General features: G+C 52.8%; 1 protein-coding gene across 5 annotated transcripts in view, besides 5 other annotated features; it reads right to left on the bottom strand.

Moving 5' to 3' along the window:
• Positions 1 to 26,049, bottom strand: part of DLGAP4 (DLG associated protein 4) — a 222,295-nt gene that overhangs the window by 164,530 nt on the left and 31,716 nt on the right. The window lies entirely within an intron of this gene.
• Positions 11,678 to 12,389: an enhancer, noted in NCBI's record as "H3K4me1 hESC enhancer chr20:34980118-34980829 (GRCh37/hg19 assembly coordinates)". NCBI's record gives its function as "activates a minimal SCP1, AML or CMV promoter by ChIP-STARR-seq in primed H9 embryonic stem cells {active_cell/tissue: H9 hESC(primed)}" and the evidence as "EXISTENCE:reporter gene assay evidence [ECO:0000049][PMID:30033119]".
• Positions 13,528 to 14,028: an enhancer, noted in NCBI's record as "H3K4me1 hESC enhancer chr20:34978479-34978979 (GRCh37/hg19 assembly coordinates)". NCBI's record gives its function as "activates a minimal SCP1, AML or CMV promoter by ChIP-STARR-seq in naive H9 embryonic stem cells {active_cell/tissue: H9 hESC(naive)}" and the evidence as "EXISTENCE:reporter gene assay evidence [ECO:0000049][PMID:30033119]".
• Positions 21,815 to 22,745: an enhancer, noted in NCBI's record as "H3K4me1 hESC enhancer chr20:34969762-34970692 (GRCh37/hg19 assembly coordinates)". NCBI's record gives its function as "activates a minimal SCP1, AML or CMV promoter by ChIP-STARR-seq in naive H9 embryonic stem cells {active_cell/tissue: H9 hESC(naive)}" and the evidence as "EXISTENCE:reporter gene assay evidence [ECO:0000049][PMID:30033119]".
• Positions 23,043 to 23,702: an enhancer, noted in NCBI's record as "H3K4me1 hESC enhancer chr20:34968805-34969464 (GRCh37/hg19 assembly coordinates)". NCBI's record gives its function as "activates a minimal SCP1, AML or CMV promoter by ChIP-STARR-seq in naive H9 embryonic stem cells {active_cell/tissue: H9 hESC(naive)}" and the evidence as "EXISTENCE:reporter gene assay evidence [ECO:0000049][PMID:30033119]".
• Positions 25,025 to 25,685: an enhancer, noted in NCBI's record as "H3K4me1 hESC enhancer chr20:34966822-34967482 (GRCh37/hg19 assembly coordinates)". NCBI's record gives its function as "activates a minimal SCP1, AML or CMV promoter by ChIP-STARR-seq in naive H9 embryonic stem cells {active_cell/tissue: H9 hESC(naive)}" and the evidence as "EXISTENCE:reporter gene assay evidence [ECO:0000049][PMID:30033119]".

Here is a 26,049-nt window from a genome sequence, read left to right as displayed (position 1 = left end):
AACAAAACAAAACAAAACAAAACAAAAAGATTCTGCAACTTCCCAATAGGCAGTTATCCTCTGGGAACCTGTGGTCCTTTGTGGTCCTTGTATGTCATATTCTCCTCCTCCAGGAAGCCCTCCCTGGCCCTGCAGCACCCTTCCCTCCTGCCCGTTACTGGCTCCTAGAGCTCCCTCGGCTTCTCCTCACCACTGCTCATGCTGATGTGAGGTAACCATTGCCACGATCATTGGCTGACACAGCCTCCTCCATCAGCCTGGCACACAGGAGGTGCTCCAGAAATGTTTGTTGATTGAATAAATGAGACAAAATTCCAAACCCTAGGATGCACATACGGCTTCTGGCCCTGGCTCTATTACCTTCCAGCCAAGCAATCCCAGGCAAATCATGGAACTGCTCAAGTTTCAATACCTACCTCAGGGTAGCCAGGGATTCAGAGGGAAATGGACATGGAAAGTTCTTTATGAAGTGGCTCCTTCCACAGCTGCCCCCATCTCAGTCAATGGAATCCTGCCCTTCCAGCCACTCAGGCCCAAGCCAAACTTGAGGTCTCTCCCACCCTCCCCTCTCACACGCAAGCCATCAGCAGTGCCACCGGTCCTCCTTTCCCCACCCTGCTGCCACCGCTGTGGACCGAGCCACTGTCACCTCGTGCCTGGATTATTCATGCCCTCTCTGGTGTCCTGCTTCTGACCTTGCTCCCAGCACAGAAGCCAGAGGAAATGCTCAAGGAGTATAAAGCTGCTATGACTCCTTGTATTCAGCTCCACACTCCCCATGGCCTCACTGCACCTCAAGTAAAAGCTAACAGCCCTGCAGACGCCACAGGCAGCCCTGCACCACCTCTGGTTCCCTCCCCCACCTGCTCCTTTTGCCCTAGCTATGCTGGCCTTTGGGCTGTTCCTCAAATATACCAGGCACGTGCCTAGCTCAGGGCCTTTGCACGTGCTCTTGCTCTGCCTGGAATGTTGATTGTGTTCAGATGTCTGTGAACCTTACCCCCTCACTTCTTTCAGAATCTTTGCTGAGACCTGATCTTGTCATTGAGAGGGAGTTTTACCCTAGCAGGAGGACTCAAAAGTATGAACTCCAAGTAAAAATCCAGGCTCTGCCAGTTACGTGGCTGCATGACCTTGGGCAAATATCTTCTCTGCAACTCAGCTGCTCATCTCTAAGATGGGGGTAGTTATAGAGCCTTCTTCATATGGTGGTTGTGAGGCTCAAATGAATTCAGCAAGTGTGACCTGTGTGTCTGCTACACTCCCCAGCCCTCCACAGCACATTCCCTGAGCCTGTCCCTGCCTGCTTTCCTGTTTTTCTCAGCCCATATCATTATACAACAGGCCACGTAATTGCATAATTTATCCTGATCATTGCCTGCTCCTCTCACTAAAGTGTCAGCCCCGAAGGGTAGAGAGTTCTGTCTGTTTCATTGCCACACGCTGTACCTGGCACATGGAGGTGCTCCGTGAATACTTCATTGAACAAATATTTTCAATACTGGAGATATTCCTTGACCAACTGTCATGAGCTCTGGGTTTTCCCTCCTTCCTTGTCGCAGATGTGACATTTCTCTTTCCAGCCCAGCTCACACCTCTGAGCTCCAAATTCCTACAGCAGCTCTGCTGGCCATCTGTGGACAGACACTGTGTACTCCATGTGTACAGGGCCCAGTCTGTGACCTTCCCTGGAGACCATGCCCTCATCCCAGTATCATCTAACCTGGTCACCCTCAGGCGACCAAGAAGCCAGGAGGCTTCTATTCTTCTTCCTTCTCCTCTTTCACTCACCCAGAAGTAAAGCCCAAGACTATGTCCTATCTTTTTTTCTTTTTTCTTTTTCTGAGACAGAGTCTCACTCTGTTGCCCAGGCTGGAGTGCAGTGGTGTGATCTCGGCTCACTGCAACCTCTGCCCCCCAGTTTCAAGCAATTCTTGTGCCTCAGCCTCCCAAGTAGCTAATTTTTGTATTTTTTCTAGAGATGGGGTTTCATCACGTTGGCCAGGCTGGTCTTGAACTCCTGACCTCAGGTGATCTGCCCGCCTCAGTCTCCCAAAGTGCTGGGATTACAGGTGTGAGCCACCATGGCTGGCAATGTCCTATCTTTTTTTTTTTTTTTTTTTTTGAGACAGAATCTCGCAGTGTCATCCACGCTGGAGTGCAGTGGCGCAATCTTGGCTCACTGCAACCTCCGCCTCCCGGGTTCAAGCGATTCTCCTGTCTCAGCCTCCCGAGTAGCTGGGACTACAGACATGCACCACCACGCTCCGCTAATAATTTTTTTGTATTTTTGGTAGAGATGGGGGTTTCACCATGTTGTCCAGGCTGGTTTCGAACTCCTGACCTCAAGTGCTCCACCTGCCTCAGCCTCCCAAAGTGCTGGCATTACAGGCATGAGCCACCATGCCAGGCCATGTCCTATCTTTTTAAAAAACCTCCTATACATCCCTCAAATCCCCTCCCCTTGATCCCCCAGAGTCGCCCCCGTCCGGGCCAGTACCATCTCTTGTTCGGACACTGCACCAGCTTCCTCCCTAGGTGCCCGGCTGCCTCCCTGGCCCATCTTCTCTGCAGCAGCCAGAAGGATCTTTTCAAAACGCATGTGGAACAAATGAACGCCTCACTCTGCAAGCCTGAAAAGCCAAAATCCTTGCTGACACAAAAAACAAACCAAACAAAGCTTTTCAAAAGAATTCGACTCAGGGTTCCTCGAATAATGAATGGTCTCCCAAACCTTGCCACCTCAGGCCCAGTTAAAATGGTATTTGTTGCACAAAAATTTAATTTACAAAATGGATTTACACAGAACCTTTTAGCTCAATAAATATTTGTAAAGTTGAACTGAAATGGAAAAATAGTTTTTTTAAAATAGCACTGACGGAGTTCCCTCATGCCCTGGGGGCTTCTTACACCCCCAACACCTTGTTTCTCCTCTCCGCAAGACTCTTCTGTTGCTCTGACACTCCTGGCTTTTCTATCTGGGGGACTATAATTCTTCCCCCTCCTTTGCTGGCTCTGAGATGTGGCTGTTCCTCTGTCCTGAGTCCTTCTCACCCCATGCCCAGCTCCCAGGTGGTGACGCCATTGGCCCCCACGACTCGAATCACCACCCATACTGACCTCCCGAGTCTCTCTGTGCAGCCCGAGGTCACCTCTGAACCTGAGGCTCATCTCCCCAGCGGCCTCCTGAACCCTTGGCCCGTCACACCCCCATGTCCAAAATGGACCTCATCCCCTTCTCCCCTAAACCCACCCTGCCCTGATGACACCATGATTCACTCAAGACCCCAAGCTAGAAAAGTAGGCATCACCCTAGACCCCTCCCTGCCGCCATCCCTCCCCATGTCCAGCCCCCCATGCTCTGCTCAGGCCCCGCCCCACTGAGGGCACTGCAGCACATGCCACCCACCCACTCTTCCACCAGTCTGTCCACCCGCCCCTTGGTTCACCCTTCATCTACTCCCCCCACCCTTCCAGCTACTCATCACCCACCCACCAAGCCGCCACCCACAATTCGCCATGGCCCTGACGCCCCAAGCCACGTGCAGGACTTTATGACATGAAAACAACTTAAACCCATTCCCAGCCTCGGGATGCTCACACACCAGAACGGGGTCGTGGCAGGTGAACAGGAGTCTGCAGAGGCTGGAGGGGACCAGGAGTGTGAACAAGGGCACAGACATTGGAGGGAGACACCTGGGATGTCTGAGGAACTTGACCAGAAGATGAGGAGTGACAGAGATGAAGGTGGAAAGGGCAACTGAGGCTGGCTCCACACGGCCTGGAGGACCGGGTCAGGGGCTGGACTTTATCCCAGCATTGACTCTGTGGAGCTAAACAGCCTGGGGTCAGATACCAGCTCTACCGCCTCATAGCTGTGTGACCTTGGACAACTGGCCTCAGTGTTCCCTGTCTGCAAAATGGGAATAATAACATACCTATTACAAAGGGTTGCTGTGAGGGCAGAGCTAATGCATACACATAGTATATCTCTTAGCACAGTGTCTGGTAGACAGGAAATGTTCAAGGAGTATAAAGCTGCTATGACTCCTTGTATTCGTATTATGATCCCCTAATCAGCTAGTAGACAATGGAGTTTTATGCAGAGAGGACGCATGCCCCTACCCAGGATTCAGCGGGCTGGCCCTTCCTCCCAGCCTTACCAGTTCTAGCCTTGACCTCACCTACCAACTGCTCCAAGCCAGTCACACCCACTGGCCACTGCTCCAGATCAGCCCCCAGTGCCCGATGAACTCCCAGCATGCCTTGCCTCATTTTGAGAAGCTTGGGCAGTGGCTCCAAGCTGCAAGGGCCTGGGAGGCGTCCCCTCCGGCAATGTTCTGATAGGAACAGCCTGTGCAGTCTCTCACAGCTCTAGGAACACCGCTATGTGCCTCATAGCAGGTCCTTGCACGCAGTACCAACTGGGAAGCCCTTTACCTAGCTTTCTCCTTGAACCCACAGCTTTGTGTAGGCCACAAATGAGGACACCGAGCCTCAGAAAGGAGAAGGAAGTTCCTTTGCCTCAGGCTACACAGCAAGCAAATGGCTGAGCAGGGATTCGAACTCTGGGTCAGATTCCAGAGCCCCAGATCTCTCCCTAAGTCTCAGAAGCCCCTGCGGAAGGATCAGGGCTTAAAATAACACATGGGCACGGATTTTCAAGGCATGGAGGAATGCTGTCCAAAAGAATTTGTGCCATGATGGAAATGCTCTAATCTGCACTCTCCCATAGGGTGGCCGTGAGCCACGTGTGGCTACTGCACATTGGAAATGTGACTAGTGCAATTAAAAGACTGATTTTTATACAAAAATTAGCCAGGCATGGTGGTGGCATGTGCCTGAAATTCCAGCTACTTGGGAGGCTGAGGCACGAGAATTCCTTGAATCTGGGAGACGGAGGTTACAGTGAGCCGAGATCGTGCCACTGCACTCCAGCCTGGGTGACAGAGACTCTGTCTCAAAAAATAATAATAATAAAAATTAAATAAAATACAAAACTGATTTTTAAATTTAATTTGAAGTTCAATAGCCACATGTGGCTCATGGTTACCCTACTGGATAGCTCAGGGCCAGGTAGCTTTTAGCATTCTCAATCCCAGACTGGAAGGACTGGAACTGCTTGAGTTCCACTTCTTCTTGAGCATTTCTGGCATGCTCATATTTTTTAAAAACTCACAAAACATTTTGTCAATTTGTCAGAAAGATTTCTACCATGATCTACCTGGTTCCTGCTTTTATAAACTGAGGCTGACCAGCACCTTCAAGTTAACTTTTTCTTTTTTTTATTTTTTTTGAGACGGAGTCTCACTCTGTTGCCCAGGCTGGAGTGCAGTGGCACCATCTCGGCTCACTGCAAGCTCCGCCCCCTGGGTTCACGCCATTCTCCTGCCTCAGCCTCCCGAGTAGCTGGGACTACAGGCGTCCACCACCACACCCGGCTAATTTTTTGTATTTTTTTAGTAGAGACAGGGTTTCACCGTGTTAGCCAGGATGTGCTCCATCTCCTGACCTTGTGATCTGCCCACCTCAGTCTCCCAAAGTGCTGGGATTATAGGCGTGAGCCACTGCGCCCAGCCAAGTTAACTATTTCTTTACAATTCAAAGTCCTTCAAGAAATAGTTGCCGAATCCCTGCTCTGGGCCAGGCACTGCAACACATGTTGGGGACAGGAGCCCAACATGCTTGTCCCTGTCCTCAGGTACTCAGGGTCTGACAGGAGAAGAGATGTGCCATACATTATGTTCCACAACAGAGTAGCGTAAGAGTGAGGTTCATGCATCAGCTGGGGAGCCACGAGGACGGGGATGGACTCAGCTGGAGGAGTGAGAGGAGGGACAGTGATGTGGGGCCACCGCACTGCAGTTTGCATTTTCATATCCACTGTCTCATGCGTGCCTCACTGTGGCCCCATGGGGGAGGTCGGGCCTTGACTGGTTTCTGGTTTTCTGTGTCCTGGATTCACTTCCAGAATTAGCAGTGAGTATGGGCCACAGCCCTAAACCCCGGGACATGGCAGCCAAGAACCATACAGCCAGTGACAGCAGAGCTGGCTCGGACTCCCTGTCCAGTGCTCCCCTGAATCCACCACAGTTGCTTCTTGGGAAGGTTCACTCAGGACCCAGCCAGCTGGTACCCAAATTTATTTTCAGTTGAGAACCTAGAAGTCAGATGTTCCCTAAGCCCTCCAAAGGGCTAGTCTTGTAAAACCTTAAACTTTCCGACGGGATCCGCAGCCCCCTCACCGGCCATCTGGTCTCCTCCCGTCCCACTTGCTGACTTCCAAAGTCTGTGGAAAATCTTCACTTTAATGACATTTCCCTGTAATCCCTTTGTTTCTATTCCGCACTCTCAGGGCCTGCCACAGTGGCCCACTCTCACCTGCCCTACTTTTCTTTTCTCGGAACCATTCTCCGACCTCATCGTTGGTTCATTTTGTTCATCTTAGGAGGCATTTCTATGCACTTCCTAAAGATGCTCCTGCCTGGGGTCTTTGGGCCTTGGAAACTCAAGCAGTTCCAGTCCTTCTATGTCCCCTTGTTCACACCGAGCTCTGACAGTCCACAGCCATGCTCTTCCTCCCTGCCTTGTTCAAACCTTCTTTGGATTCCTCACAGTGGCTTTGCAGCAAAAGGCAGAAATATTGTATTGCAAACCAACACTTCTTGAGCCCCAAGGGCTTATGGGAGCCCTGACCCAGGTTGGGGTGATTTTAGAAACAACAAAAAAGGAGGCGAGGCTTTGGCTGGGCCTTAGAGGATACACAGGTGTCCACTAGGTGGGCAAAGTGGGAAGGGCATTGGAGGCAGAAGGAACAGCTGGTACAAAAGGCGGGAAGAGGGACAGAGCACGCCATGTTTGGGAACTTCTGCACAAGTCAGGTGCTGGTCTGTGTGCTCTGGGGGAGGACGAGAGGAGAGAGGGGAGAGACGGGGCTGGAAATGCAGGTGGGGGCTCGCTCACGAGGGTCCTGCAGTGCCAGTCCAGGGAGTCTGGCCTTTACCCTGGGAGCAATGGAGGCTTCGTCAAATGTGTGTGGGAGAAAGATCACCCAGCAGCTTTGTGGGGTAGTCTAGAGGTGGGTGGCGAGATCCAGGCGAGAGCTGACAATGGTTCACCTAGGATACTGGGGCCTGAAGACAGCAGACAGATTCAGGAGACACGTAGACTAAAAAATCAATCCAATTTGGGGCTGGTTTGATGTGGGGAATGAGGTAGAGGGAGGATTCAGGGATGATTCCCAGATTTCTGTCCTGATGACTGGGGGATATACTGAATACTAAGCTTTTGGTTATAACAGGGGCCTGAAACTTTTTCTTAAAAGGCTGATGGTGAATATTTCAGGCTTGCAAGCCATATGGCACTGCAAAGCAGCCATTGACAATACATTAGTAAGTGGCGTGTTCTAACTTTTTTTTTTTTTTTTTTACAAAAACAGGCTGCCCATAGGCCATAGTTTGCTGACCCCTGAGATACAAACAAAAACAACAACGGGCCAGGCGCGGTGGCTCACCCCTGTAATCCCAGCACTTTGGGAGGCCGAGGCAGTGGATCACTTGAGGTCAGGAGTTCGAGACCAGCATGGCCAACATGGTGAAACCTCGTCTCTACTAAAAATACAATAATTAGCTGGGCATAGTGGCAGCTACCTGTAATCCCAGTGACTCGGGAGGCTGAGGCAGGAGAATTGCTTGAACCCAGGAGGCGGAGGTTGCAGTGAGCCAAGATCGCACCATTGCACTCCAGCCTGGGTGACAGAGCGAGACTCCGTCTCAAAACAAACAAACAAACAAACAAACAAACAAAAACAATGAAACCATCTCAAGCTGGCTTTAACGATAAAGTGAATTGATTGATCCATGCAACTGTCTGGATTTGTGGTGTACTTCAGGCACAGTTGAATCAGGGTTCAAGCTTCTTAGCCCTGTCCTCCTCCATGTGTCAATTACATCCTAAAGCTGGCTTTGCTAATGCACACAGGGTGTCTGCTCCAGATTTAACAAACATACTATAAGGGGCATGAAAAAGGGCAGCTGTTCCAGCGCCAGTCCTAAGAGTCACTCTGATTGGACTGGCCTATCTCACTTGCCCATCCAGGAACCAATCATCAGGCCTAGAGGATGGAACACACTGATTGGCCTAGCCTGGGTCATGAGCTCTATGCCCATTGGCTTACCCTGGGGCCTGAGCTCTATCCTCACGGGAGGGGTGGAGTCAGTTTCCCTACAGCTGTGTGGCTCCTCAACAGGAATCAAGGTCTGGTGGGATGGAAAAGGGAGGTTATATGGGAGAAATGAAAACATATGTCCCCATGAAGACTTGTACGTGAATGTTCATAGCAGCATTATTCATAATAGCCCCAAACTGGAAATAATTCAAATGCCCATTGACCAGCAAACAGATAAGCAAAATGTGGAATGTCCATAAAATGGAATATTACTCAGCACTAAAAAGGAATAAAGCACTGATACATGCAACAACATAGATGAACATCAAAAACATGATGCTGCTGGGCTCAGTGGCTGACGCCTGTAATCCCAATACTTTGGGAGGCTGAGGCAGGAAGACTGCTTGAGCCTAGGAGTTTAAGACCAGCCTGGGCAAAATGGTGAAACCATGCCTCTACGAAAACCACAAAAATTAGCTGGGCATGGTAGGATGCATCTGTAGTCCGAGTTACTCAGGAGGCTGAGGTGAGAGGATCGTTGAGCCTGGGAGGTCGAGGCTGCAGTGAACCACGATCGTGCCACTGCACTCCAGCCTGGAAGACAGAGTGAGACCCTGTCTCTTAAAAAAAAAAAAAAAGAAAGAAAGAAAGAAAAAAGAACAAGAAAAAAAATCATTATGCTGAGTGAATGAAGCTAGACGTGAAGACTACATGTTATATGTCTCCATTTACTTCCTTTTTAGAAAAGGTAAAACTATAGAGACAAAGCAGATCAGTGGTTGCCTGGGGCCAGGGGTGGGAGTGGGGACCAACTACAAATGGACAGAGGGAGCTTTTGAATTGTGGTGTTGGCTGCACATTGCATAAATTTATTAAAACTCATCAAAGAGAATGCTTAAAATAGTTGGATTTTATGGCGTGTAAACAGCCCTTCCATAAAGTTGCTTGTTTTGATTTTATCTGTTTTGTTTTTATCTGTTTTGTTTTGTTTTCTGTAGACAGGGTCTCACTCTGTCACCCAGGCTGGAGTGTAGTGGGGTGATCATAGCTCACTGTAGCTCTGAACTCCTGGGCTCAATCAGTCCTCTCACCTCAGCCTCCTGAGTAGCTGGGACTACAGGCACACGCCACCACGCCTGGCCAATTTTTTTCTTTTCTTTTTTCATTTTTAAGAGATGAGGGGGGTCTCACTATGTTGTCCAGGTTGGTCTCAAACTCTTAGGCTCAAGTGACTCTCCTGCCTCAGCCTCCTGAATAGCAGGGATTACAGATACAAGCCACTGTGCCCAGCAATACAGCTGTTTTTTAAAAAGGCTAGTGGAGATGCAGTGAGGGGATCCTGGGTGCAGCCACGAGGGTCAACTCCAGATAGTGCCACTCACTAGTCAGGGGACAGAGTGGCAAGAGAAGACCTATGGACAAATGCAGGAGTCAGTCCGGATGTGCTGAGCAACTACAAATGGACAGAGGGAACTTTTGAATTGCGGTGTTTGTTGTGCACTGCAAAAATTTATTAAAACTCATTAAAGAGAATGCTTAAAATAGGTGAATTTTATGGAGTGTAAACAGTACTCAAATAAAGCTGTTTGTTTGATTTTGTTTGTTTTGTTTTCTACAGATGGGGTCTGGCTCTGTCACCCAGGCTGGAGTGCAGTGGGGTGATAACAGCTCACGGCAGCTTTGAACTCCTGGGCTCAATCAGGACATTGGGAATGCGGTCCAGGAGAACCCCAGGGAAAGGCCAGGGGTGGAGCTGCAGGTATGGGGACTGTGGGTGTTCAGAGGGACACCAGTGGAGTTGACAAGTCCCCCAGAGAGAATGTGGCCTGAGGCGGGAGGCCGGCCGGCACAGAACTCTGTCCTTCCTACGGCCATCCCCACCTGACCCCTGCTGGCCTCCCGTTTTGTTCTCCACAGTTGTCAAGGGGCAGCTGGGGAAACAGCAGGCGCTCGAGGGAGCTGACCTGGATGCAAACCCACTTCTGCCCCTCATTTGCTGGGTGACCTTAGGTAAGACGCTCAACCTCTCTGACTCAGATGGACATGATGATGGCACAGCTGTGGACAGGAGCACACAGGACATTCTGTACAGAACTGGATCTATAGGAAGCCCCTGGCAGGTGTGGCCTCCTGCCCCTTGGGCCAAGCCAGTCATCAGAGCTGCTGCAACTTCTCACTGCCTTTGCCGGCTCCTCTTCCTCCGCTGGTCCCCTAAGTTCCTCAGAGTTCTGAATGGCAAAGTGGCGGACACAGGTTGGAGCCCCAGCTCTGTTCCAACTCTTGTGACCAGGGCAAGTCTCTCTCCAGCACCAGGCCTCAGCTTCCCCAGCTGTACGGCTCCTGGGCCCCCTGTGGCCTGCATGTGCTGAGTTTGTAACCAGGTGCTTACAAGAAATGCTTCTGCCCTTCATGGTGAAAAGAAAAAAGAGTCCTCAAAAAGATCAGCAGCAGAAAAAAGGCCCCAGGGCTGGGGAGACAGCAGAAGGGGCCTTCCCTCTCCTGCCTGGCCATGGAGAAGACGCACCTGGGCACTGAAGCCCAGCCCAGCCCAGATGCTGACTCAGCCACTTTTCAGGGACAGCTGAGGTCACCGTGTGACTCCTGCCAGAGCCGCCCCCTCTCAGTCATCCCAGCAGGACCTGCCGCAGGGCAGTGTGGGTTGGAGGGGGTCTTCCTCTCTCTGAGCCATGGCTGCCCTGTCTAAAACCCCTCCAGGAAAGCCGCTCTGCAGGCCCAGCTTTCTCCCCACCCTCTGCTCTGAGCTCGTCGGGTACCCCTGGCCACCCCTTCTCCCCATTTTCCATGGTTCTAGGCCACCTGAAGTCTCTGAGGCTGCCCCAGCATCTCCATGGGAGATGCCAAAAGGATGATTCACCAGAGTCAAGGAATCAAGGTCCAGAGGGGGCAGGTGCATTAGCAAGGCCACACAGTGGACGCAGGAGGAGGTGAGGGCAGCGCAGAACCTGGGCCTGCTGAGCAGCCACTCATTTCCGTAGCCCCCCTCTTGTGGATGTTATGACAGCAAGAGTCCCGTTCTTTATGTCTTTATAACTCAGACCAACATCTAGACTTTCAGTTCAGCAGACATGCTTCCCGTCACCCACACCTCCCTGCCTGAAGAGACCCCAGCTCTCACTCCCTGGCGACCCTTCCAGCCTCCTATCCTGCTCACTGGCACATCCAGCCTGGCCTCCCCCAAACTCTAGACATCTCCATGCAGCACTGCCTGCTGGGCCTGTCCACCTGGATGTCTACAAGGTATCAGACAATTTTCACCGCCTTCCCTTCCTCTCCTGAACCTGCTCCTCCTGTAGTTTTCCCCATCCCACTTGAGGGTAGCTCTAGTTTCTTTTTCTCGGGACAAAAACTTTCCCGTCTTCCTGGACTCCTCTCTCTCGCCCCACACTCAGTCCTCCAGGAAATCCTGCTTCTCTTCCCTTCAAAACATCTCTAGAATCCAGCCGGCCCTCCCCACCCCCACCTCTGCCACCGAGTCCCAGCCACGGTCACCTCTCCCCCAAATTAGAGGCCCCTTGGCCTCCCTGCCTGCACTCATGATCCCTTCAGTCCAGTCTCCACACTGCAGCCAGATAGTCCTGTTGAGACACAGTCTCTGCTCAAAGCCCTCAGTGGCTCCCATCTCACTGAGTGGAGGCTGAGACCTCACCCTGGCTTACAGGGCCCCACAAGGTCTGGTCCCCATGTGCGTCTCTGCCATCGCCCACTCTCACCATCATGCCCTCCTTCCCCAACTCTGGCCTCCCACCTCTTCTTCAGTTGCAGCTGCTCCACCCCAGGCCCTTTGCACTTGCTGTTTCCGCTGCCAGGACCACTCTTCCCTGGATCACCCGGGGTTCTCTCCCTCCCTCATTCCCCTGAGCTTCTGTAGCTGTCACCTCCTCAGAGAGGCCTTCCTGGACCCAGACCAGACACCCTGTCTCACCTGCCTGGGCTTCCTCGCACTTTGTCCTGGTCGTTTTGCCTCTTAGCACTCACACCACCCGGCCGGCAGCACATCACACCCACAGGTGGGTTTGGAGGAGCCCCCATTTCTAAAGCGAGCTCCAGGTGGGGAGACATTGTTTCTCTTCCCCACCAACACATCTGCAGCCCCCAGCACAGTGTCTGGGGCATAGTAATTGCTTAGGAAATATCCATCGAACAAATCAAAGACTGTGACCTTGCACCTGCCCTGCTGTCTGGTAGGGCAGTGGTCCCCAACCTTTTCGCCACCAGGAACCGGTTTCATGGAAAATAGTTTTTCCACAGATGAGGGGGGCTGGTTTCCGGATGATTCAAGCGCATTACATTTATTGTGCACTTTATGCTATTATTATTACATTGTAATATATAATGAAATAATTATACAACTCACCATAACGCAGAATCAGTTGGAGCCCTGAGCTTATTTTCCTGCAACTAGATGGTCCCATCTGGGGGTGATGGGCAACACTGACAGATCATCAGATATTAGATTCTCATAAGGAGAGCTCAGCCTAGATCCCTCACATGTGCAGTTCACAATAGGGTTCGAGCTCCTATGAGAATCGAATGCCGCCGCTGATCTAACAGGAGGTGGATCTAACAGGCCCGCCACTCACTTCCTGCTGTGCAGCCCAGTTCCTAACAGGCCACGGACCAGCACTGGTCATGGCCCAAGGGTTGGGGACCCCTCTTGTAGGGGGTCTGCCATTTATAAGTACGGATGACACCCCAGGTCTTGCCCTCCCAGAAAAGATGGCACAAAGATGGCAGTAATCCCAACAGAGTGGGAGCAGTGGGTGCCACTCCCTCCTCTGTGCCAGGCAGGGGGGCCCCCAACCACTCCTGGAGCAGCCTCTCTTACGATCCCCATTTCACAGAAGAGGAACTGGAAGTTGTGAGAGGTGAAGTCACTCGCCGGAGGGCAGGCGGCACACGCTGGAGTTGAGATTAAAGCTTAGATGTGTCTGGGCCCACAGATACCTCTGAACCAACAATGCAGCTGCCCCGGCGTGGCACCTGACTCCCTAGGCCTTTGGGATTCCAGAGTGAGGGGCTTGTGGTGCTGGCAGGGACAGCCCTCCTTCCCCCAATCACAAGCAGCCTCTGGGGCAGCAGAGGCCCACAGCCCACTGGGGAAGGAGTCAGGCAGTGAGGGACAGTCCCCTCCAGCATCTGCAAAAGGGAGACTGAGCCAAACTGGTCAGCAGTCCTCAGCACACATCACATCTCTGCCATCTGCTGTGAGAAGCACTTTGTGATCACCTACTGTGTGCAGAGGCCTGGGCTGATACTTTTTGGAACAAAGGAGGTCATGATAGGCCCCTTCCCCACCTGCTGCCCTGGTACAGAGGGCATGCCCTTGTCAGCCATTGTATCATCTGATTCACCCCAGGGAAATGACAGATGGACACTATCAGGCCCATTTCACAGTCCAGGGAAGTGAGGCATGCATTTTCATTAAGCACCTGCAAATTGAGATATTGAAGGAAGTTGAATTCTGAGTGTCAGCGGAGTCAGGATGGGGCAGGTGCTGGGGATGGAGAAGGGGCCTCCTCAGGGCCAGGTGGATGGATAAGGTCACAGGACCCCACTGCCCCACCCAGGAGGGACTGCTCTCACCCAGGCACTTGCTCCCGCCTCCCACAGCTGCTGGGCTACTCATCCGCTACCCTATATCCACAAGGAAACTGTCTCTAGCACACAAAGAGAAACTGATGCCGAAGGGCTGGGGGGCCTAAGGGCAAGCTGAGCTCGGGGGACGATCCAGGCTTGGCACCCGCCAGCCTTCTGGGTCCCTGTGCAGATCCCCGTCCTGTCCCCATGGCACCTCCTCTAGATACATGTCTGAGGGACACCAGAAGCCGCTTGAGACCCACAGGCTAAAAATGTGGGAACTGTGAGATGCTGGTGCACTCACCTGCTTGGGAGCCTGTGGGGATGAGGGGCCGGCATCAGCACAGCTGTGCCTGATGGGGCTGCTCCTTCAGGGCGGAAACACGGGGCAGGGGTTGGGAGTATATGGCAGTCAGGGGAGGACAGCCCATCCCCTGGGACGCGGCGATGCTGCTTTCCCGGAAATACCTTGGGGAATTTAGTTTCCCAATAAATAGCTATTATTTATTGATGTGATGACCACATACTTTATCATCCCAACAGGGATACTTATGAGCTTGAAAAGGAAGCTGTTAGTAATTACTCCAGAACTGCCCCGGGCAAATCATGACATGTGGGTACCTTATCTGTTGAACAACCAGGATGAATGCTGGGCACGTCATATCCATCGCCCTTTTTATCCTCACGATGACCCATGAAGTTGCTGCAGCAGCTCCGGCCTCCTTCCTGTTTCTCTGTCAAACCAGGCGCACTCCTGCCTCAGGGCCTTTGCACTTGCTGTTCCCTCTTCTCAGAGCCCCCTTTCCATTAATGGCTTGTCCCTTACTTCATTCAGGTCTGTGCTCAAATATCCCCTCCTCTTCAGGCTACGTTCCCTACACCTAAAATAGTACATCCATCTCACTTTTTTTTTTTTTTTTGGAGATGGAGTCTTGCTCTGTCACCCAGGTTGGAGTGCAGTGGCGTGATCTCGGCTCACTGCAAGCTCCGCCTCCCGGGTTCATGCCATTCTCCTGGCTCAGCCTCCCGAGTAGCTGGGACTACAGGCGCCTGCCACCACGCCTGGCTATTTTTTTCTATTTTTAGTAGAGACAGGGTCTCACCGTGTTAGCCAGGATGATCTCAATCTCCTGACCTCGGGATCCACCCGCCTCAGCCTCCCAAAGTGCTGGGATTACAGGTGTGAGCCATTGCACCCGGCTTTTTTTTTTTTTTTTTTTTTTTTTTTTTTTTTGAGATGGAGTCTTGTTCTGTCACGCCCAGGCTGGAGTGCAGTGGCTCAATCTTGGCTCACTACAACCTCCACCTCCTGGGTTCAAGTGATTCTCCTCCCTCAGTCTCCCAAGTAGCTGGGATTACAGGCGCACACCACCACACCCAGCTAATTTTTTTGTACTTTTAGTAGAGATGGGGCTTTACCATATTGGCCAGGCTGGTCTTGAACTCCTGACCTCAGGTGATCCACCCACATCGGCCTCCCAAAGTTCTGGGATTACAGGCATAAGCCACCACGCCTGGCCCCATATCACTCTTTATTCCTGATTTTTAAAATCATAATACTTTTCACTGCTTGATGTTATTTGTTTGTTTAGTGTCTGTTTCCCCTTCTAGAAAGTAAGCTCAGCCGGGAGCAGTGGGTCACACCTGTAATCCCAGCACTTTGGGAGGCCGAAGTGGGCGGATCACAAGGTCAGGAGTTCAAGACAAGCCTAGCCAACATGGTGAAACCTTGTCTCTACTAAAAATACAAAAATGAGCTGGCCATGGTGGCACACACCTGTAATCCCAACTACTCGGGAGGCTGAGGCGGGAGAATTGCTTGAACCTGGGAGGCGGAGGTTGCAGTGAGCCGAGATCGCGCCACTTTAGAACGAGATGGGCGACAAGAGAGAAACTCCATCTCAAAAAAGAAAAAAAAAAGAAAGTAAGCTCTGCTACAGCAAGGACTTTGCCTTTTTTGTTCACAGCTGGCACAGCACTCAAAAGGTGGCCATAGCTCAGAGTAAATGCTTACTAAATATTTGTTGGATAAATGAATGAAGAGTAATGACCTCTAGTCAGATGAAGAAACAGCATGGCAGGCATTGCTAATTGTCCCCCCATATCTCCTCCTTCCTTCTTCAGTAACTGAACTCCTGATTTTAGCTGGGCCTTTGGCCATCTAGAATAAAGTGTACATTTCCCTCCCTCCTGTGCAGATAGGTGTGGCCATGTGACTACGTTTTTGGTAGAAGGATATAAACAGAAGTCATAGGTGCAGTTTCTAAGAAAATCAGCTTAGAGGTCATACATGCAATATGGCTGGAATGTGGATAAGATGGGTGGAGCTGGAGCAGTCATCAGGAATCATGAGGTGAAGCTCCATTCTATGGAAGGCACAGTAACAACTCTTTATTGAAGAAGTCTAGGTTCTGAATGATCGTGGAGACACCAATTAGGCCCTGAACTGCCTACCCATCTCATATTTGGGAGATAAATAAATTTTCATCCTATCTAAGCTACTGCTGTTATTATTATTATTTAAGTGTCTTGTTCTGTCATCTAGGATGCAGTGGCACAATCATTGCTCACTGTGGCCTCAAACTTTTGGGCCCAAGTGATCCTCCTGCCTCAGCCTCCTGAGTAGTTGGGAGTACAGGTGCATGTCACCATGTTGGGCTAATTTTTAAAATTTTTTTGTGGAGACGGGGTCTTGCTATGTTGCCCAACCTGTAAGCCACATTATTTTGAGGTCTCCTGTCACTTGTAGCCAGAGTCCCACAGCTTTTCCATGAGAGTGCCAAAATTCATGCCCTGACCATCAAGCCTGTGTGAGCATGTTTCATTTTCCACAGCACCCCAGCACAGGGCTTGGCACATGGTGGGTGCTCAACAAATACTAGTTGAATGAATGGACAAACAAGCTTCTCTTGGCCTGGGTTGATGCTGGTGCTCAGTGGCCCATGATCTGGCCCCATCTGCCCCCTGACTCCTCTCTCTCTGCCCCTTCCACACACACTAAAGAATCCATCTTTCCTCCCTCTAAGCCCCAATAGCCTTGCTTCTAATCTGATCCTATTACCTGACTCTAGTCAAGTCCATAGACATAGGGGGTCAGCACTCTTCTGAATGACCCTCTGGCCCAGGCCCCAGCTGGGAGCTGGGGTTGCTGATGATGGACCATCCTCAGCCTTCCTTGAGGTTCTGCCCCCAGGAGATCTGGGAGCCCTGCACCACCACATCTCCCCAACCAGACAGAGCACTCTGAGGGCAGGGACAGTGCCCAGCACAGGGAGTAGCACAGGCAAAGCTTCAGGAAGGAGGAAAAGACTGGAAATGCCCACACCACACACTGGAGTGACAGACCTGTCAATGTTCTCTCAAATGTCCCCAGTGTGCTGCCCAAGTTTCCACCACCGAAGTCTCTGTCTTGGGCCGAGGTACTGAAGGCCCCTGTTACAAGAAACCCCTCCCCAGCCCTGTGACAACTCATTTTTGGCCACTGTGACTTCAGCATGGATTCACTTCATAAGAAACAGATTGAAAGGTCAGGGTATGCATGAGTTTTAAGAGGAGAGAGGTGATGGGAAAGAACTGGAGTAGAGGGGAAGAGTAGAAATTGGGGTCATAGAATTAAAAAAAAATGGGTCCTAAAACACTCAAGTGACAGAAGGAAAACAGAGAGAGGAAATCAAGGGGCTTGTATAAGATGTAGCATTCCAAGTCTTTGACAATCCAGATAAATCCCACCTACTTCTCCCAATATATCATCTACCAGCTCATCCCACACCACACACCAGGCACAACCTGTTTTTCCTGCCTGCACCACTTTGTGGGCTCTGTTCCCCCATCCACAATGCCATCTGCCAATCTCAGCTGGGCAACATCCGTCCCACTCTTTCAGGCCTGGCTGAAACCCACCGCTTCCAGGAGAGTGTCCCGGATGGTTCCTCTCTGGGCCTAGCATCTTGCTTAGGCTTCCAGTGCCTGTCCCAGAGGGCAGAGCTCCTGCTAACAGTGAGTAGGGCTATGTCACCCACATGGTCAGCACAATGGCTATGGCACAGTTCTTCACTGAACCCCCTGAGGCAGCCACAATAGTGCCAGAGCCACGGACAAGCATGGGGTACCCACAGCCGTCAGTCCTTGGACTCTGCCCATAGAGCCCTGGATCCCAGTGGTCTTGGTGAGGCCAGGGATTCGCATCAAGTCCCTCCAAGGGATTACAATTTATGCTAAATTTCAAGGCCCTCTGACAAGGCAGGTGAGAGGTCATTGTCTGCTGGAATGAAAAAAAATGTGAGGGTGGGCATGGTGGCTCACACCTGTAGTCCCAGCACTTTGGGAGGCCAAGGCAAGAGGATTGCTTGAGGCCAGGAGTTTGAGAACAGCCAGGGCAACATAGCAAGACCCTGTCTCTACAAAAATAAAAAAGTTAGCCTGGTGTGGTGGTAAGTGCCTGTAGTCCCAGCTACTTGGGAGGCTGAGGTGGGAGGATCACTTGAGCCTGAGAGGTCAAGGCGGCAGGGAGCCATGGTTATGCCACTGCACTCCAGCCTGGGTGACAGAGCAATACTCTGTCTCAGAAAAAAAAAAGTAATAGGATCAGGAGGAGGCAGCCCCTGATGTCCTGAAGAAAAGCCCTTACAGTGGGGCAGGTGGGTGGATTCTGCTCATTCATTCAACAAATACGTCCTGGGCACCCACTAACAGGTGACTATAGTAACAGCTGACATTGGCTGTACATTCGCCATAGGCAAGGCTTGAGGCTTATACCATCTGAGTCAATCTTCAAAACAAGCCTGGGATGCAGATGCCATCATTCTCCCATTTCACAGATGAAGAGCCTGAGAGAGAAGAGAAGTGACCTGCCCAAAGTCTCACAGCCTTGGCAGAAGCTGGAATTTGAACTTAGGCCAGCTGGCCCCAGAGCCAACGCTCTATCTGCCACAGTGTGTACCAGACCCTGGGATATGACCACAAACAAATGGCCCTGACCTTGGTTTGTCCACCAGCAGGAGAAGAGATACCAAACACAAAAACAACACATGCTTCAAATTATGGCACCTGTGAGGAAGGAAAAAAAGCGATTCCTCCAGAAGCCAATTGCAGGGGGCACCTCTCTGAAGATGGTCCCTTTGCCTCAGTTCTCTCGTCTATATAATGGAACAGTGGGGCCAGCTGATACCTGGGAACCTTCCAGCTGGGACATGTCAAGAATCCAGCCTTCCTTTCTCTAGGCCTCAGTTTCCCCATCTTGTATAATGGGCTGGAGGGAAAACAGAGGCAGTAGTGACTTTAGGTCCCTTCAAATTTAGTCCTGAGCTTCCCAAGCCCAAGTTCCTGAAGTGGGGTCTTTGGGAGTGCATCCTCCACCTGTTTCCATGGTGATGGCAAGGCCCAGGAGGGGTGTGGAGGTGCTGAGACATGGAAGTAGGGCCCTGGCTCCTCCCCTCCCAAAGAGCCTCTGGGTCCAGTGGACTCGATGTGCCTAGGGAAGGAGGGGGGACCCTTAGCTTTGCTGGCTCATCCAGAGTCCTGCTGCCTCCACACGGCCAAGATGAGGTGGAGGGTCTCATCCCACTGAATAGGACCTCACACCCAGGGCCCTAGGCCCAGCCGAGGCCCAGGTCCACTGGGAGCTGTCCAAGGTTCTGAAATCCCAACCAGGCTCCCAAGACCAGGTTCCCCTGGAAAACACTTCTAAGAGCAGCTGGAGGTTGGGGATTAAGAAAGGAAGATGAGTACCTGGGGACAGGTAGGGAGCCATGGTCGGCTGGGCTCTACACACCCCAGCAATGTGATCTCAGGCCAGCTCCTCTTTTGTGCCTCAGTTCCCTCAAATGTAAACTGGGGAGAATAAGGGCACTGACCTCACGGGTCTGTAGTGAAGACCAAGTGCAGATGAGGCATGTGGTAGATGGAGGGGCCCAGTAAGCATCAGCCATCACTGTTACATTGTGGACTTGTTATTATTTCGGGAGGCTGACTTTGCTTGGGTGCTTGCTGTGTGCCTGGTCTTCCAAGAATTTTACCTGCTTCTACTCCCAGCAGTCGGGTAAAGTAAGTACGAAAATGGGGATAAGAATACAGATGAATATTCTGAGACTCAGAGAGGTGAAGTTAACTGCTCAAGGTCACACAGCTAGTGAAGAGTCGGGAGCAGAGATTCAGACCAGGTTAGGTTTGAAATCACTGAATCTATCCCACCACACTCCCACTGTTCAGATGGGGGAAGTGAGGACCAGAGAGGGACCTGATTTACCACGAGTCACCCAGAAAACCCACAGTTCCACCTCCCGGCACAGACTTTTTCCTGATGGTCTATGCTAGGCTCCCCTGGCAAGGTGAACAGCACTCCCCTGCACCCCCATGGCCGGAACAGCAGGCAGGCAGCTCCCTCAGTAGTGATCCCACTGCTCTGCTGGAGGGTTCTCTGTCAAAGGCAGAAACATGAAGTAGCTCAGAGACAATGTGTGTCAGCTGTAGCCACGGGCCAGCAGCCACTCGGGGCCCACCAGTGCCCTTGCCAGCAGGCATCTGAGTACCGGGGAGAGGGTGGCACCAGAGCAGTGCTGCTGGGGCCTCTCCAGCTCTGGCCTGGTTTCCCAGCAAGGAGAAGGCCCAGACATGCACCCAAGCTGCTCCTGTCCCAAATTTCCTGCTGAGTGAAGTGTGTGCATGCATGCGTGCAGACACAGATATAGTTCAAATTCACCCAACGGGGGGTTGGGGGGGGGTACCTGGTAGCCTCAAAAATCCATTTTTTTTCCTTGAGGAGGTGCAGCTTTCACCTCCGGTGGGAATAGGGGCAAATGAGGCATTAAAAAGCGGTGGAACTAAGAAACCCAGCTTCCCATCCCAGCTCTGCTCCTTCCAAGTTGGGTGACCTTGAGCACATCATAAAGTTGGTATGATGTGGCACTGACTCTGTGAAACACGGTTCCTGGGCCCTGGTGTGGGGCATCAAGGGATCACAGTTTTGAGACATTAAAATTGGTCACTACCCAGAGGAGATGAGTGGCTTAAACTAGAATCCCAGGGACAAATTCTAGCTCCCAGGCTTGGGTCTTTCTTGGCCACCCTGGGTCCAAGCCACAGCTGTTCGTTGCCACGATGTCTGCAGCCGTCTCCTCAGACTCCCTGCCTTCCACATGCTGCTCCAATTCACTTTCACAGAGGCCAGAGGGGTCTTTGTAAAATGTGAGCCGGTGAGCTGCCGGCACTTCAGAGGCTTTCCAGGGCACTTAGGAAAAGGCCCAAACTGGGGCTGAGGGCCAGAAGGCCCCTCAGGGCTGAGCAGTCCCCGCTCCTCTCTAGCATCCTCTCCCTCTCCCCTCCCCCTCACTCAGTCCCTCAGGTGCCCTGCCCTCCTTGTTCTTTCCTGAACGTGCCAGCCTCTGTCCCACCTCCAAGCTCAGGCCCTTGCTGCTCCCACCACCAGCTCACCTCCTACCAGCATGGCTCCTTCTCATGCCTCAGGGCCTAGCACAAATGTCGCCTCTGCTGAGAGGCCTTCCCTGGCTACCCTGAAGTCTATAAGGTACCTCCCAGTACTGGACACTAGTTCTGGCTTTTGATTTCTGCTGCCCACTAGAGGGCCTCTCTGCCAGCAAAGGCCCCTCCATGGGCCTCAGTTTCCCCACCAGGACTATGCGGCAGAGGAGCCAGTCTCTGAGCCTTTCCAGTTGGCAGAGGTTACCTCCATCCCAGCCCTGCCCTGCATTGACCCATTTTTCTGAGGCTTCTCTGAGCTCAGACAGTTGCTCCCTGCGGGCCCCAATCCCATAAATCACAGCTGATTCCACTGAGCGGGGTGGCTGCTGGCGCCCAGGCATTCATCAGCATTGGTAGTACCGAGGCTGTCATGGGGCCTTGGTGGGAGCTGGGCCTGGCCTTCAAGGCTGGGAACCTACTGGGCTGAGGCCTCCAGCCCCAAACAGACTCCCCTTTCCCTGATAGGCCCTTACCCAGACACACTCACTGGCCTACCCTGTCTATCCAGCCCCCAACTCCATTCAGCCAACAAGCACTCCCGTTATCCCTTCTGGAGGCCGTGCCTTGGCTTCCAGGTTCTTGCAGTGGGATGAAGAGATAGGAGCCATCTTGTGCCCCACTTTGCCAAAGAGGAGTCTGAGGCACAGAGAGAAGGAGTGACTTGCCCAAGACCACACAGCAAATGTATGGAGGCCCCTGGCTCTAAAGTTCTGACCTTTGGCCCCTCGCTGGGGAGACCCCAGCCCAGAAAGAGGGTGGTGGGGGGCTATGTGCACAGCCTCCTACCTGGACTTCAGGGCTCCACTCCGGCCACCAGGGGTTCCTGGGAAATGAACCCTCTTGTCCCCGACACCCCGATCCAACAGCCTGCTGCTGTTCCCACTCTTCAATCTGCTCAAAGAAATGAGGAGAAAGTCGAATGAAGTGTGCCTGGGGAGCTGAGCCTGCTCTGCCAGCCTGCAGGAAGGCGGGAGGCTGTGGTGGTGCCCACTGAGTGCTGGGGACGGCGCCCCAGCAGCATTAGGAAAATGCTGGAGAGCGGAAGCTGGGACGACAGGCCCGCCCTTCCCCCGATGTCTGGGTGACTCTGGGAGAAGCTTGTTCTCCCATCTGTTCACCCACCCAATATTTGCCAAGCACCTACTGTGTGCACTAGAGCAGAGGGACTGAGGGGGTGGCAGCCCAGTGGGCCACCCAAGTGCAGATCTGGGAGATCAGACACCAACTCCTCCCCGCGGGAGCCGCGTGCCCTTCAGCAAGGCCTGTGGCCCCCTGCACGTCGTTCTTCATCTCTAAACCAGGAAGGATGGAAACCGCACCTCTCTCAAAGGGTTACTGCGGGAACAAAGGCTTTCGGAGGTGGTTGCATGGTGCCTGGCACACGGTGCATATCAGTGAGTGCCAGGCATCACCATCGTTGGTACATGCCAGGCACTTTGCTAGGGGCTGGGGTTGGGGCAGTCAACAAGACAGATGAGGACGCTGAGCTCTTGGCAAGGGGGTGAGACAAAACTGGCAAAACAATTGTAAGTCATGATAAGTGTCCCAAGGGCCTGGGACAGAGAAAACCAGGGGTCAAGACAAAGGTCACAGAAGGCTCCTCTGAAAAGTACACTCGGGTGGAGAGTCTTGATGGATAAGAACTGGGGAAGTGTTCTGGGCAGAAGAGATGGCCGGGCCGAGGTCCTGAGGTGGGGAGCAGCCTGGTAAAGGTTTAAGGACCTGAACAGAGAGCTGTGCAGACAGGGAGGATTGCACAGAGGAAGCAAGTGCCCTCTCTGGCCTCAGTTTCCCTCTTTGTGCAATGGGTGATAGAAATGCCTCCCAGCTCTCCTCAGAGCTACCGCCTGGAGCAGGCCCAGTTTGTTCCAGGAGGAGCATGGGGAGGGGTGGGAGGTGCTCAGGGAGACCAGGCCCAACTTGCTGGCATGTGACCTTGGCTGTGTCCCCTTCCCCTTTGGGGCTGACTCAAAGCTACGAGTGGTGCCTGACTCACTCCTCTGGTGACAGCTAATTATGCCTCCCCCTCCACCCGCTGGATCGCAGCACCTGCATCAAGCTCTTTGGCTCCCGACAGCCCCCCGAGGGACCAGGCTGAACTGGGGGACCCCTGGGGTCTCCGGAGGGATGCCAGAGGGAGGCCTAGTCTGGGCAGCAGTGTCTCCGCCTCTTCTCATGCACTCAGCCCTGCCGCCCAGGAACTCATGCCAGAGGGTGGGCAGGGGTGGGGACACAACTAATGCCGCTGATCTGATGTGGCCATTTCCCTGGTCACAAAGACCAGGGTGCAAGGAGGCCAGCAGAGACCCCCGACCTGGGCTGGGGGCACATAGGTGTCGGGGGCACTGGGGACAGACTGGCGATTGTGGCAAGCCCCTGGTGTTTCCTGCCTGAGCCGACCCACTCCCTGCCACATGTGCCACGGAGAGGGTGAGTCACTGGAGACCCGTGCACGGGTCTCTCCCGAGAAGCAGCCACGTGCGGGGAACCACAGCATGGGGCCGGGCAGCCTTGGCCCAGCCTGCAGTGTGGGTGCGGCATGGGCATCCCAAGGACATCCCCTTCCTCACCATCTCCACTTCCGGAACAGCCAGAAGTTCCCGAGAAACGGAGGGTGTGCAGGGGCTGTTGGGCAGCCAGGAGAAGGGAGGAGCTGATGTTGGGGATGTGGGGCCCCTCCTACCGCACTCATACTTGGGGCTCTGTTCCCAGAGGTGAGGGTATTGGGAACTTAGGCCTCCTTCTACCACAGAGGGGAAAACAAAAAACCCCCAAACCCCACAGGGTTGATTAGCATATTCATGTGGGCGGCAAGATCATGAATATGCTAATCAACACCCCTGGCTACTCCAGGCTCCTCTCCTTCCCCGCTCTGCGGCTGCCTTAGCCTCACTCCCCCAACCCAGCCTCCACTGCCTGTCCAGCATGCACCTCTTGCCGGAGGTCCAGAGCTCAGGCCCTCTGGGATCTTCCCTCCTCTGCCATTCCCACCTTAACGCCTCTGCCGGAGCTGTGCGTCCCCTCCATGAGCAAATGCCAGCACTGGCTCTGCCTCTCCACAGGAAACACAGCCTTCTCAGTCCCCCTCAAATGCCACACTGCTGGTCCTGCAGATGGCCCACTGGGAGTTTGTGCCCCGCATTCCCCTGCTCCACTCTGGCCTCCTCTAACTCCCTTACTCAGGGGGCAGAATAAGCACATCAAAACACACACTGGGTTGGGCGCCATGGCTCAGGCCTGCAGTCCCAGCGTTTTGGGAGGCCAAGGTGGGAGTTGGAGCAAAACTCAGTCTCTACAAAATTTTTTTAAAAAACATTAGCCAGGGGTGGTGGCTGTAGTCCTGGCTACTCAGGAGGCTGAGGTGGGAGGATCACTTGAGCCCAGGAGGTTGATGTTGCAGTGAGCGGAGATCGTGCCACTGCACTCCAGCCTGGGCTACAGACAGAGACCTTGCCTTAAACAAACAAAAAAAACAGGCCAGGTGCAGTGGCTCACGCCTGTAATCCCAGCACTTTGGGAGGCTGAGGCGGGTGGATCACCTGAGGTCAGGAGTTCGGGACCAGCCTGGCCAACATGGTGAAACCCCGTCTCTACTAAAAATACAAAAATTAGCCAGGCATGGTGGCACGCACCTTCAGTCCCAGCTACTTGGGAGGCTGAAGCACGAGAATGGCTTGAACCCAGGAGGCAGAGTTGCAGTGAGCTGAGATCGCACCACTGCACTCCAGCCTGGGCAACAGAGCAAGACTCCATCTCAAAAAAATGAATGCACACCAGATCATATTACCTTCTGCCTAAAACCCTCCGTGGCTCCCTACTGCTCTTGAGATAAAATCTGCAATGTCTCCCGAGAGAGCCGCTGAGTCCCCAGCCCCTCTCAGCCTCCTCCCTCTGGCTCTTGCTCCCTGGCTCACCAGTGTTCCCAGGCCTTCATGCTTGCTCTGCCCCACCTGCCTCGGTGCCTTTGCCATGCTGTTTCCTTGCCCAGAATGCCCTTCTCTCCCTCTTCACCTGGGTGGCTGTCACTCCTTCCTCAGGGTTTAGCTCAAATGGCACTTGCCCAGGGAGGACCTCCCAGCCCCGACTGCGTTGGGACCTTTCACTGTGTGGCACGGTTGCATTCATTTATTCATTTATTTATCTATTTTTTTGTTGTCATTTGTTGACTCCCCTACTGGACCGACGGCTCCCCAAGGACAGAGGCCAGTCGGCCCAGGGCCTTGCACACAGGCGGTGCTCAATACATGACTAAATGAATGACTGTTTTTTGTTTGTTTGTTTGTTTGTTTTGAGATGGAGTTTCACTCTTCTTGCCCAGGCTGGAGTGCAATGACACGATCTCAGCTCACTGCAACCTCCGCCTCCCGGGTTCAAGCAATTCTCCTGCATCAGCCTCCCGAGTAGCTGGGATTACAGGCATGCGCCACCACACCTGGCCAATTTTGTATTTTTTGTTTTTTTTTAGTAGAGACAGGGTTTCTCCATGTTGCTCAGGCTGGTCTTGAACTCCCGACCTCAGGTGATCTGCCCACCTTGGCCTCCCAAAGTGTTGGGATTACAGGCGTGAGCCAATGGGCCCGGCATGGTGTTTCTTACTACCATTCCAGTAGCCTCCAGATGGGCCCTCCTGCCTCCCCCCTTGCACTCGTGGGTGAGTCCCTGCCAGTGCCCAGCTCTCAGCAGACAGAGCTCCCCACACCATGTGTCCAGGGCGTCACACACAGCTTAAGAAGCTCCCCTCCCAACCCTGCAACCTTCCCAGCTTCCTGGGCAGCTGAGGACCATGAGGTTCAGGGGCACAGGCTACT

The sequence above is a fragment of the Homo sapiens genome, chromosome 20 (genome assembly GCF_000001405.40).
Source record: "Homo sapiens chromosome 20, GRCh38.p14 Primary Assembly".
NCBI classification, from domain to species: Eukaryota; Metazoa; Chordata; class Mammalia; order Primates; family Hominidae; genus Homo; species Homo sapiens.
Note: the sequence above shows the minus strand (reverse complement) of the source record. Positions and strands in the feature narration are given on the sequence as shown.